Source organism: Homo sapiens, chromosome 9 (genome assembly GCF_000001405.40).
Source record: "Homo sapiens chromosome 9, GRCh38.p14 Primary Assembly".
NCBI classification, from domain to species: Eukaryota; Metazoa; Chordata; class Mammalia; order Primates; family Hominidae; genus Homo; species Homo sapiens.
The window spans coordinates 98,841,885-98,855,480 of NC_000009.12; the positions used below are offsets into that span (position 1 = coordinate 98,841,885).

At 43.6% G+C, this 13,596-nt stretch overlaps 1 protein-coding gene across 6 annotated transcripts in view, besides 1 other annotated feature; it reads left to right on the plus strand.

Moving 5' to 3' along the window:
• The window catches only part of GALNT12 (polypeptide N-acetylgalactosaminyltransferase 12), a 42,412-nt gene extending 34,215 nt beyond the window's left edge, over positions 1-8,197 (plus strand). For all 6 annotated transcript variants that reach the window (NM_024642.5, XM_006717287.1, XM_011519018.3 and 3 more), the window contains 3 exons: positions 2,212-2,325; positions 4,093-4,239; positions 7,068-8,197. In NM_024642.5, the coding sequence (NP_078918.3) occupies positions 2,212-2,325; positions 4,093-4,239; positions 7,068-7,208 (402 nt within the window). In that variant the 3' untranslated portion in view covers positions 7,209-8,197. The remainder of the gene's footprint in view (positions 1-2,211; positions 2,326-4,092; positions 4,240-7,067) is intronic.
• Positions 6,763-7,057: an enhancer, noted in NCBI's record as "tiled region #15412; HepG2 Activating non-DNase unmatched - State 12:CtcfO". NCBI's record gives its function as "activates a minimal TATA promoter and a strong SV40 promoter by Sharpr-MPRA in HepG2 cells {active_cell/tissue: HepG2}" and the evidence as "EXISTENCE:reporter gene assay evidence [ECO:0000049][PMID:27701403]".

Below are 13,596 nucleotides of genomic sequence, written 5' to 3' on the forward strand. Positions count from 1 at the left end.
CCAGGCTGGTCTTGAACTACTGACCTCAGGTGATCTGCCTGCCTCAGCCTCCCAAACTATTGGGATTACAGGCATGAGCCACCATGCCCGGCCAAGGCATAACAAATTCTTAAGTCTTTTCTTTATTTGCTTATTTTCAGAGTAAGAGTTGGTATTTTAGTTTCCTCCAGTTGTATCTACTGGGTTGTTTTTTTTTTTGTTGTGGCTCATTGTTTTTTTTGGCTTTTTCTCTTCTTGAGTGTCATTGTAAACTAATGGGTGTTTAAATAGCCGGTGTGCTTCAATCAATTCATCTTTTCTTCTTTGTATTGTTTTTTGAGACAGGCTTCTATTCTGTCACCCAGGCTGGAGCACAGTGGCACCATTGTAGCTCACTGTAGCCTGGATCACTGGGCTCAAGTGATCCTCCCACCTCAGCTTCTTAAGTAGCTGGGACTACAGGTGAGCACCACCACACCTGGCTAATTTTTTATTTTTATTTTTAGTAAAGACTAAGGTCTCGCTATGTTGCCCAGGCTGGTCTTGAACTCCTGAGCTCAAGCATTTCTCCTGCCAAGGCCTCCCAAAGTGCTGGGATTACAGGTATGAGCCACTGTGCCCAGCCCAATTCATCTTTTTAAAAAATATATGAAAATTGTTTTTGGCCAGTGGGAGTCCCTTTATTTTGGCTTCTGAGGTCTTTGACACCTTACAGTGGCGTTGATAGCCTCCTTGATTCTGGCCAAGTTGTCCCATTCGAGTTTTAAACATTTCCTGCCATTCCTCCCAGAAGCCCTGCTCCTTTGTTGGGTAACGGTATTGGGAGTCAGTCTGGATGCTGGCGGTGCCCGTTGCTATGCGTTGTCATTGCCTCCAGACCATGCAGTTTAACAGAAATATAATGAGAGCCACCGTTGTAACTTAAATTTTTTTAGTAACCATATTAAAAAAAAAGTAAAGTTAATGAAATGTTTAACTCAGTATATCCCAAATAATATCATTTCAACATATAATTAATATAAGTATTTATTCATTGAGGCATTTTACATTCTTTTTTCATACTAAGCCTTGAAATCTGGTGTGAATTTTATACTTATAGCATATCTCAATTTGGATTAGTTACATTTCAAGTGTCCAGTAGCCACAGTGGCCAGTGGCCGCCACATGAAATAGCACAGCTCTAAATTTTTCTCATTGGGCAGAGAAAGGAAATTCGTATTTTTGAGAAACAGATCATGAGCTTATATTAATATCTGAAAATCCAATGTAGTCTTGAAAAATTTTCTTTGATAGCATACTCATATTTCTTTTTTCTTACCCTGAAAATCTTGGTTTTAAACAATATTAACATAATTACTTATTTTCTTTATCCTAAAATATATTGAAAATAGTTTCAAGATAATTAATACAGTACTACAGCTTAGAGTATTATACTGAATGAGGTTTATAATTTCTTTGCAGCTCAGTTTGTTTATAGAATATATTTCATAGGTGGTATTTTCAAACATACCATGCTCTAAAGTGATTTAAATTAATTCTTTTTTTTTTTTTGGTGGTGGGGAGGACAGAGTCTTGCCTTATTGCCCAGGCTGGAGTGCAGTGGCATGATCTCAGCTCACTGCAACCTCCGTCTTCTGGGTTCAAGTGATTCTCCCGCCTCAGTCTCCCAAGTAGCTGGTACTACAGGTGCACCCCACCACACCTGGCTAAGTTTTGTATTTTTAGTAGAGATGCGGTTTTGCCGTGTTGGCCAGGCTGGTCTAGAACTCCTGGCCTCAAGTGATCCACCTGCCTCCGTCTCCCAAAGTGCTGGGATCACAGGCATGAGCCACTGAACCCAGCCTAAAATAATTCTTTCTTTGTGTCTATCGCCTGCTTGATTTAGTTAGCTTAATTAATCTAGTTCGAGGTATCAACCCAGGTATATTTGGACTTGCACAGCAGTAAGGCTGCTACTAATGAGAAAGAAAGAGAGAGGAGCTTTCAGGCCATGAAGAGTTTATCTCTCTGGTCCTCAGGCTTATCAACTTAAAATAGGGGTAAGGATTCTTGCCTGCAGAACAAGGAAGCACTTTTAAAGCTAGAAGGTGCTGTACAGAAAAGACTCTTACCTTTGCGTCTAGCTCTTGAAGCAGGCTCTCCTCTCATGCCAGGTACCCTCCCCAAGCCTTGTGTGGCATCTGTTAGTGTCTATAAATCTGGACTGAAATGCCACATTTATGTTTTATTTAGCTCCAGAACAAAGGACTAACAGACTACTGCTTTGACTATAACCCTCCCGATGAAAACCAGATTGTGGGACACCAGGTCATTCTGTACCTCTGTCATGGGATGGGCCAGAATCAGGTAGGTATGAGCCTCAAAAGAGGAGAAAGCTGTGTGTTTTGTTAAAAAAATTAAATAGTTGAATTTTTTTCTTGTAAAAGTAATATTTGGGAAATATAAAAAGTAGAAGCCTAGGGTGGCCAGACTCAGAGAGACCACTGTTAAAATTAAAATGTGTTTTCTTCCCATCATTTTTTACACATAACACACAGAGATTATGTGTTGTAAATAGTTGTCATAATGTCTGTATGTTTTATATTCCATTATTTCCATTCCCTTCATCTACTTTTCTTATGTTATTAGATACCCCTTGAGAATATCATTCCTAGTGGCCACTTGATATTTCATTTTGTACCTGTATTACTGTTTCGTTAACTGGTTCCCTGCCTCCCTGTCTTTGCAATTATAAATAACCCTGCCTCTAACACCTTGGGTCAGACAGAAGGAAGGATAAAGTAACAGATCTGCATTTCAGATGATTTCCTTAGAATTAATTGTTAAGTGGAATGACAGGTTTAATGCATAGGGCCACCTTGCAAGGTGGTGTTTAGGGACATTGCCTCAGCTGGGGGCCAGGTGTATCTGTCTGGGTGAAGGGCTGTAATTCAGGCTGGGCAGGGGAGATTCAGTCCTGGGGGAGTCTGAAGACCAGAAAAGGACCCCCAGCCCTGGAAAGCAGTTGACAGGACCCTTGGAGGATGCAGGAATGGAGAGAAGTGTTGGTTCTGGGCCTCTGAAGCTTCACCGTACCAAGGAGTTATCAGACACCAGGAAACAAAGGGATAGAGATTCAGATGTTGTTTTTTCCAATCTGGATTCACCCCAATGCCACTTGAATATGAGGCCTTCTTATGGTCAAGAGTAAACTTTCTTAATTCCAACCCCTGCAACCTTAAATTATTTAGGTTTTCAACACTGTTTAGAACAGCCTTCCTCAAAGCTGATGGTACCTGAGTGCTACCATCAGCATCATCTGGGAGCTTGGAAATGCACATTTTCAGACTGATCCCAACACTACCGAATCCCAGACTCTTGTTTTAAGCAGCTTTTCAGGAGATAATGGTGTGACAAGCCCTGCTCTGTGCGCCTTAAGAACACCCACCTGTGTCAGAATTTTTGAAAGGGGCTGGTGGGGTGGGTGGGTGTCTTGTCAAAGATGCAGAAAATGCAGCTTCCTAGGCCCCACCTCACACATAAGGAATCCTTATTCCGTCTCTGGGATGGGGCCAGCAATCAGCATTTTTAACAGTCACTGTAGGTAGTTCCTAGTACACTCAGGTAGGAAAACCATTGTCCGGGAAGAACCAAGTCTTCCCGTTAGCGGTCACATTGTCTGCTTGTGCACAGCACTTTACATCTTCTAGGAACTGTCATATTGGGGGTTTGGGAGGAGAGACTGAGGAAAAGGAGAGGAAGTAGCTAGTCAAGGTCACAGAGAGCCCCCAAGAGCTAGTGCTGCGATGGGTCCATTTCCCTTCCTCCCATCCCACACCAACACAGCATTCAGCACTGCAGGCAGGAGGTGACATGCACCAGCCCTGTCTCCCTGTCTAGCAAGCTGGGCAGGCATGGGAAGGGCCATTTCCTCCACGCTCATGAAGCACTGCAGTAGCGGTTCACTGAGGGCTGTGGGATGCGGAGGAACCCATCACACAGGCTCGTGTTGGTGGTGACGCAGGTGCATGACCCCACCCATGCTCTCGTGATCCCAGGTTCTTGTCCAGCGATCTTTCCTCTTCCCACATCAGTGGAAAATGTTGTGTTACATGTTGGCTGCCCCATTTTTAGTTTTTCGAGTACACGTCCCAGAAAGAAATACGCTATAACACCCACCAGCCTGAGGGCTGCATTGCTGTGGAAGCAGGAATGGATACCCTTATCATGCATCTCTGCGAAGAAACTGCCCCAGAGAATCAGAAGTTCATCTTGCAGGAGGTAGGTGAACTCTCTCCTTCCTTCCTGCTGACAGTCCCTGGGCTATAAGGGAGAGTGTGAGAGTCAGACGTTCTCTCTGGCATAGTCCTGGTGAGGATCAGGGATGTGGCCATGCATGGACAGGAGCTCTGGAAGACCTGGAACCTCAGTCCCAGTGAGCCTGGGGGGCGGTGATGGCAGGAGATTGGAGTCCCCTGGCACACGGTGTCATTAGCACTGCCTTCCTTCCTCATTGTCCAGTCCCTTTTAGTCTTTTCCATTTCCCTTGCACCCCCATGAGCTGCAGGCACCGACATGGAAACAGCTCTTACAAATGCATTCAGAGATGAAAGGGCTTTAAATGAGTAAGCCAAATAGCCCAAGTGTAAGGATGTTAGCCAAAGTGTTAGATCCAGATATAAGCCACCCCACCTCTCTAAGCCTTGTTTTTCCCAGCTTTAAAATAGGTACAATAGGCCAGGCACAGTGGCTGACGCCTGTAATCCCAGCACTTTGGGAGGCCAAGGCAGGTGGATCATCCGAAGCCAGGAGTTCGAGACCAGCCTGGCCAATATGGCAAAACCCCATCTCTACTTAAAAAAAAAAATAGCCAGGTGTGGTGGCATGCCCCTGTAGTCCCATCTACTTGGGAGGCTGAAGCAGGAGAATCACTTGAACCGGAAGGCGGAGGTTGCAGTCAGCCGAAATCATGCCACTGCACTGTAGCCTGGGAGACAGAGCGAGACTCCGTCTCAAAAAAAAAAAAAAAAAAAGGTGCAATAATAGCAGACTTACTTTACTGAGGATTAGATGCATAGCCAGAAATATTCTTTGGAAACTATAAAGCTCGATAGAGATTAGTTGTTGCTTGTGGTATTATAACCAAGAAAACACCTCTGATAGAGTAGTCTCCCTGGATAGTCACAGTTGATTTGAAACTGAGGGTTACCTCAGACCTGAGGGTGCTGGCCCCACCACACTTGCAGTCAGCTTGCATCAGGACTTGTAAATCGATCATATCCTTTGACTCACTAAAAAGCATGTGAGGGAATAAATCCAAAGAAAATCATTTGAAAGAAAAAAATTCATTGTTTTTTATCTCCCTGGGCAGCTTTCACTCCCAATATACTGCTTATAAATGGGTTTATTCTAAAGATGATTAAAAGCTGGAATATGTTTTCCTGCAGAAAAATGTTGTCACTAGCAATGACATTTGCAGGCTGCCCAGAAAAGCCACACACCATGGTGTTACCTATTGAATACAGGAAAATAAGAAGGAAAAATACTTCTGCACACCCCAGACGTCTCTGATCTTCTTGAATGTCCTCCTCTTCCCATCTTTCTCCCAACCAGAAGCCATTGTAAGCCCTCAAGGAATGGTAGTGGACACTAGAAACAATAAAATCAGTTTGACATATCAAAAATTTTATCTTAAATTTCAGTGACCATTTAAGGAAAAGGAAGTTTGTTCAGGAGGCTGGGAAGAAGGATACTGAATTGGATTTTTTACCTTTCTTCAGGACGCTTAATACTTTGATTCATATGTGAAAAGGATACAGCTTGATTTATTATATTTCATCAGTCATGCCCTAAATATATATATATAAAACAAATATATATTGAACAGAAACATATGTGAATTCTGAAGGAAATGTCCCCACTTATATTCACTAGACCATAATAGAAAGCTTAGTTCTTAGGGCTGGATCTTTTTTTTTTTTTTTTTTTTTTGAGACGGAGCCTTGCTCCACCAAGGCTGGAGTGCAGGGGTGCAATCTCAGCTCACTGCAACCTCTGCCTCCTGGGTTCAAGCGATTCTCCTGTCTCAGTCTCCTGAGTAGCTGGGACTACAGGCGCCCGCCACCACGCCCAGCTAATTTTTTGTATTTTTAGTAGAGATGGAGTTTTGCCATGTTGGCCAGGCTGGTCTTGAGCTCTTTGGCCTCAAGTGATCCACCTGCCTCAGCCTCTCAAAGTGCTGCGATTACAGGCGTGAGCTACTGTGCCCAGCCTTGTATTTTCTTATGTAGGCCTAAAAACCTCTGAAATGTCATTTCTTGGATTCTACAAAACATGAGTTTGGATTTTTTTGAATGAAAAAAGTTCCATTTAGTGAACAGCACATCACAAAGGTTTTTCACTGATGTTGTTATTCACTCTGCCTGTTTGCTGCTCAGCCATGATTAAGTTCGTTGCATACAGCTTATAACAGAGAGGCAGAGGGAAAAGATAAACACCAGGCCTGAGAGAGAGACTTGCTGAGATAATTGAGCAAGGGCTGGCAGAAAGGAGAGAAGCAGGAGGTCATTAAAGAAGACCATCGTCTTTGGGGTTTGGGAATTGGCACAAGGCATATAACCCACTGATTCTCTGATGTGTGACAGGTGAGTAGCTCAGGCCAAGTGACTGGCTTCCTCATCCATCTGGTCTGTGGCTGAGCTGGGACTACAGCCAAGTTTCCACACTCTGTTTAAATACCTAAGAGAAAGAGATCACCCTGCACGGAATGAGTTGACCTAAGAGGAGTGAAAGAGATAAACAAAGGATCTTTGTTCCTGATTTCCCTGAAGGAAGCCAAATGCAATAGGGAGATGTAGGGTATGACACATGCCCAGAGCAGCCAGCAGGTGGCACCATCGGTCCTGTGAGAGGCAAGCGGGACGCAGCCTGTACAAGCCTGGTGCTGTGTCCCCGGGACAGTCCTGAGTTGCTGCGTTACACGGAAGACACTTACCCCTCAATAAATATTTCTGAAATGGTAAAAATCAGACCCTGATCTCTTTAAAACATGTCTTTAGGAAAAAGAGACTTTTCTGATGACTTGCCTGTCATTCTGTTATCTTTTGTAGGATGGATCTTTATTTCACGAACAGTCCAAGAAATGTGTCCAGGCTGCGAGGAAGGAGTCGAGTGACAGTTTCGTTCCACTCTTACGAGACTGCACCAACTCGGATCATCAGAAATGGTTCTTCAAAGAGCGCATGTTATGAAGCCTCGTGTATCAAGGAGCCCATCGAAGGAGACTGTGGAGCCAGGACTCTGCCCAACAAAGACTTAGCTAAGCAGTGACCAGAACCCACCAAAAACTAGGCTGCATTGCTTTGAAGAGGCAATCATTTTGCCATTTGTGAAAGTTGTGTTGGATTTAGTAAAAATGTGAATAAGCTTTGTACTTATTTTGAGAACTTTTTAAATGTTCCAAAATACCCTATTTTCAAAGGGTAATCGTAAGATGTTAACCCTTGGTATTTAGAAAATTAAAACCTTATAATATTTTTCTATCAAGATGTATATTTTACAGTCGTGCCTTTTACTCTCATTAGCAAAAAAGATAAAGATTTTATTTTGGTATTTACAAGAATTCCCAGGTACGAAGATATCTGCATGGGTGGAAATCAGGTTCAAGCAACGTACTTTGCATTAACTGATAATACCTCAGCTGCGGGGTTAAAGTTTTCCCAGTATAGAGAGACTGTCACTAGGAACATTGTATTGATTTATTCAGGTCATTGAGATCTTCTAGATGTATTTTAAAAAGAATGCTTTTTGGTTATGTGTTGCTACCACAGTTAACACTCCATAATGTTCATGTCAGCCAAAGAGGACTAACCAAAGCTGAAATCTCAGAGAACAATTTGCTTTACTAAGCTGAGTCAACTTGAGAGCGAACTTCTAACAATGCCGCACTGTAGTGTGGCTGGTTCTACCACTATGACTTTAAAACATGTTTATATCATTTTTAATTTTTATGATACGGTAGTGTCAGGGAGAAATGTAATGTTCTATATGAAATTCCTTTTTCAAGTTTGTTCATTAATAACAGTTATTAATTTAAATCAGCGTTAGAGTTTGTGCTGCTGCAACTGCTGTGAAAATTTCTCTGAGTAATTCTGATTTGTGAATGATCCCAGACCAACCCTGAGATTTTGTCAACCTGATTAAGTCAATATGAATGATTAAAAAGATGTGAGAACACTGACTGCAGATCTTTTTGTACTGTAAACCAAAAATAAAATTCTAGGGCCGGGTGCGGTGGCTCACGCCTATACTCCTAGCACTTTGGGAGGGCAAGGAGGGCAGATCACTTGAGGTCAGGAGTTCGAGACCAGCCTGGTCAACATGGCGAAACCCCGTCTCTATTAAAAATACAAAAATTAGCTGGACGTGGTGGCATGCGCCTGTAATCCCAGCTACTCCGGAGGCTGAGGCAGAAGAGTCTCCTGAACCCAGGAGGCGGAGGTTGCAGTGAGCCAAGATCGCGCCACTCTACTCCAGCCTGGGCGACAGAGCCAGACTTTGCCTCAAAAAATAAAAAATAAAATTCTGGGGTCCCCCATCTGATTGAATGGACTCCTCTCTTGGCCAAGAAGATCCCAAAAAAACCTGAACCTAGTTCAGAACTGAAAAACTAGTTCAGGCCATGATGAGAAGGGAGCAGTATCCAGACAAGCCTCATTACCCTCTCCTCCCTTTGGAGTTTAAAGACAACTGACTGGCATTCACGTTAAAACAGATCTCTTAAGATGGACCAAACAGACTCTTTGTAGCAACACATACCAAATTCCAACCTGACTGGTATAACATCCTATGACCCTGAAGGAAATCCAAGTATTTTGCCACAAAATATATTTCTTTAACATATTCTGAAATGGCCCTGCAAAGCTGTCTCTTGCGGGGGAAATTTACATTCTGTAGAGAATCTCCTTCCCTAACTAGGTCTTTTCAGGAGAGTCTGACACTTTTTAAGGTCTGATAAGAGACCTTCACATCTATTTTCTCTGAAGCCTGCTACCTGGAGCTTCATCTACATAAGAACCTTGGCTTCCACCCACCATCCCCCCCACCCCACCCCACCCCACCCCACCCCTTACTTAGTTCAGCTGACTTGGACTCTTCAGGCAGAGCTTAACTCTTTCAACCAATTGCCAATCAGGAAATCTTCGCATTCGCGTGTGACCTGGAAGCCCCGCCCCCCGCCCCCTTCTTTAAGATGTCCCGCCTTTCCAGGCCAAACCAAGTTATGTCTGCCTGTAACTTCTGTTTCCCTAAGATGTGTAAAATCAAGCTGTAACCAACCACCTTGGGCACATATTCTCAGGACCTCCTGAGGTTGTGTCACAGGCCATGATCCTTAACCTTGGCAAAATAAACCTCTGAATGGATTGAGACCTGTCTCAGATAGTTTTTGGTTTACAGGACCAATCAGATGGGAGCGATGAAGATACACGTGGAATTGATTAAAAGGTATCAATTTGTGTCTCAGGCTCTTTTTGACATACATTCTCCACTCAGATCCTGTCAAGGACCAGTTTAACATTTACCCAGAAACAACTTGGCTTGGGCTGGCTCGAATCCATCTGATGCAACTTAACTTATCTGTACTTCAGTTTCTTCATTGGAAAAACAGGGATAATTAAACCAAGATATGGGATAGCTGTGAGGATTAAATAACACATAGCAGGTCAGGGCTTAGGCCCTGGTGTTACCAGAAAGGGATCTGGATCTTGGATTACGCACAAGAAAGAATTCAGGGTGAGTCCAAAGAGTAAAGTGAAAGCAAGTTTATTAGAGAAGTAAAGAAACAAGAATGGCTATTCCATTCTTGGGGGTCCAGAGTACCCCCGAGGACTACTGGTGGGCTATTTCTGTAGTTATTTCTTGATTATATGCTAAACAAGGAGTGGATGATTCATGAGTTTTCTGAGAAAGGGGCGAGGACTTCCCAGAACTGAGGGCTCCTTCTCATAGACCATATAGAGTAACTTCTTAGCATTGCCATGGCACTTGTAAACTGTCATGGTGCTGGGGGGAGTGTCTTTAGCAGGTGAATGCATTATAATTAATGTATAATAAGCAGTGAGGACCACCAGAGGTTGCTTTCATCCCATCTTGGTTTTGGTGGGTTTTGGCTGGCTTCTTTACTGCATCCTGTCTTATCAGCGGGTTCTTTGTGACGTGTATCTTCTGCTGACCTTCTATCTCATCCTGTGACTAAGAATGCCTAACCTCCTGGGAATGCAGCCCAGCAGGTCTCAGCCTCATTTTACCCAGCCCCTGTTCAAGATGGAGTTACTGTGGTTTGAACACCCCTGACACTGGCCCACAGTATGGGCTTATTAAATATCAGCTTCTATTTTCAGAAATGTACTTTAATATTTATTCAAAAATAAATATTAAGTAGTTTAGCTTTTTAAAATCTTTATGGGATTAAACAGCTCTTTAGCAGGCAGGAATAGCTTTCGACACAGCTCAGTTCTCATAAATGTGAGGCAGTGTGGGCCAAGCTTCCCTTCCTACCGCTGTGGGAACTTGTGAAAACAGACGCAATGCCCCCCCTCAACCCATGAGTTAGGAAGTCCTACCCTGTCTCCCCTCCCCACCGTTTCTGTCACATCAGTGTGAGCTTGATGAAGGGGTGTTGGGCCCTCCCAGATGCAGGGAGACAGTTCAGGCAGACATAAAATTAATGCTGACAAAATCCATCAAGAGTGCAGGGAGGCTGCAGAGGTTGCATGTCTGGAGAGTCTGCCGAGCATGGCAGCTAATTAGTTTTGCTTGAGAAGTCGCCCCTCTAACTCCTGCATCCGCTTACATTCGGTCATTTTTAGGCTCGAAAACAGTCAATATAAAATAGAAATCATATTTTGGGGGGTGTCAAGGGAAATCTTTACACAGACTGGGAGGGAATTTACAACATCTCGAGAAAACGTTCTCTTCACCGATGGGTGAAGAGCCTGAGAAAAAGCCCATAGGGATGTGAGGGAATTCACACATCTATTCACTGTACCCGAGTGGGTTCCCACCTGCCCCCACCTGCCCCCACCTGCCTCCCTGGCAGGTGTGAATCCAGGGCTGATGTGTGGAGTTGGAGTCCTGGGGGCCAGCCCCAGCTGTGGCAGATTGGCAGATTGTTTCGCCTTCTAGGACTCTGTTGTAGTTTCCTCTAATTTGGTCTTGAGGTCTGTCTCAAGAGCATGGGTAAAAACTCTAGCCCTGCCCTGCCAGGGCTCTAGGGATTTGGTCATGAATGTTTATAGTGTGTCTTTCATGGGACACTTCATCCTGGCAGACAGCCTAATGCCTGGGTGTCCAACCCATGACAGGGTGTTCCTCTCACAGAAAACTTGGTTTATACTGGAAGATGCCTTTGTGGCTCTTGTCTGACCTGCTCAGTTTATTCCTACCAAGACAGCCCCTCTCCAGGAGAGCCCTGACGGGGGAAGAAGGTAGGTTTGGGTGTGTTGGTCAGGTGAGACACAGAAGAGGCAACTCAGCAAAACACATGAAATAAGGCTAGGCATGGCTCACACCTGTAATCCCAGCACTTTGGGAGGCTGAGCCAGTGGATCACCTGACATCAGGAGTTCAAGACCAGCCTGACCAACATGGCAAAACCCCAACTCTAATAAAAATACAAAAATTAGCTGGGTGTGGTGGTGGGCTCCTGTAATCCTAGCTACTGGGGAGGCTGAGGCAGGAGAATCACTTGAATCTGGGAAGTGGAGGTTGCAGTGAGCGAAGATCGCACCATTGCACTCCAGGCTGGGTGATAAGCAAAACTCTGTCTCAAAGAAACAAACAACAAAACAAAACAAAAAAAACAAAAAAACCCCACATGAAATAACAGAAAAGCATGTTACTCACAGATCAGAGAGGCCGGGGAAGGAGGCCTCACGGGGCCAATAGGAGGGTGAGAGCTGTCCAGAATATGCATTCAACCAGCATATGGGGAGCAAGAGAGAGGGACCTTTGGGCCAAAGCCTTTTTATTGCCCAGGCTGGAGTGCAATGGTGCAATCTTGGCTCACTGCAACCTCTGCCTCCCGGGTTCAAGCGATTCTCCTGCCTCAGCCTCCCAAGTGTCTGGGATTGCAGGCAGGCACCACCATGCCTGGCTAATTTTTTGTATTTAGTAGAGAGGGTGTTTCACCATGCTGGTCAGGCTGGTCTCAAACTCCTGACCTCAGACACGCCACCCGCCTCGGCCTCCCAAAGTGCTGGGATTACAGGCATGAGCCACTGTGCCCAGCCGGGGCCAAAGCCTTTATTGGGATCCAGGGAAACCAAGCAGTTTTCCCAATGGGAGTTTTAATTGATGGGTTTGGAACAAGCAGGCAGGAGTTCCGGGAGGTCACAGGTGACTGGGAAGTGGTTGCTGTGCATATCTACACAGGTCATGTGAAGTGTAGGGATCGGTGGGCAAGTCAAGTAGGTTGTATCTAGCTGTCCCCTAGGGAGGTAGTCACAAGAAGGCAGTTGTATAAGCAGATATCTGGATCAACCACATTGAGGAACTGGGAAGAGGTGGAGAACTGGAAATTGTGTCTCAAGGGTGACTAAGTCCTGCTTCTGGTATGAAAAATTCCAATTTATATTCAAAACAGATGCTGAGGCAACATAAAATTATAAGAATTCACTACAGACTCATTTTCTTATCTGCATAATGAGGATAAATATGTCCTCTGTTGATTTCTTAGCTATATTTCTTAGTTACTTTTTTAGCGGTTGCCTTAGGGATTCCAGTGTGCTTCCTGAATTCATCACAATTTTCATCAGTTTAGCATGGAGTTAATTCCAGTAAAATTTGGCAAATTTACACCAATGCAGCTCTACTTCCTAGCCCCTCCTCTGTGCTATTATGGACATATATACTATATATATTATATACTCAATAAGAGAAGGGTATAATTACTGCTTTCAACAGTAAAAGAAGATTATATATATATATATATATATATATATGCACACACACACTCACACACACAGAGTCTGTTATATTTACAGACATATGTACCATTTCCCATGTTCTACATTACTTCCTGTGAATCTGAGTAACCATTTGGTGCCATTTTCTTTGAGCATAAGAACTTTAGTAGTTTATCTAGGAGAGGTCAGTTTGCAACAAATTCAGTTTTTGTTTATCCAGGAATATATTTATTCTGCCTTCCATTATTGAAAGAGTTTAGTTGGATCTAGAACTCTAGTTGACAGGTTCTTTATTTTTCCTTTCAACCCTGGAATGTGTGATTGGACTGCTGTAGGATCTCCCTGTTTTGAATGGGAAGGTGTTTGTTGATATTGTTACTTCTGTGTGATAATTCATGTTTCTCTTGCTGCCTTCCAAGATTTTCTCTTTGTCTTTATATTTCAGCAGTTTGATTATGATGTGTCTAGGTGTGGTCTGCTTGTGTTTTTCATACTTGGGGTTTGTTGAACTTTTTGGAATGTAATTTAATGTTTTTTATTAATTTGGGAAGGTTTTAGCCATTATTTCTTTAATTTTTTTTCTACCCCTTTCTGTGTTCTTCAAATTGGACTTCTGCTGGTTTTGTTTGTTTGTTGTTTGTTTGTTTGTTTTTAGAGTCAAGGTCTTACTCTG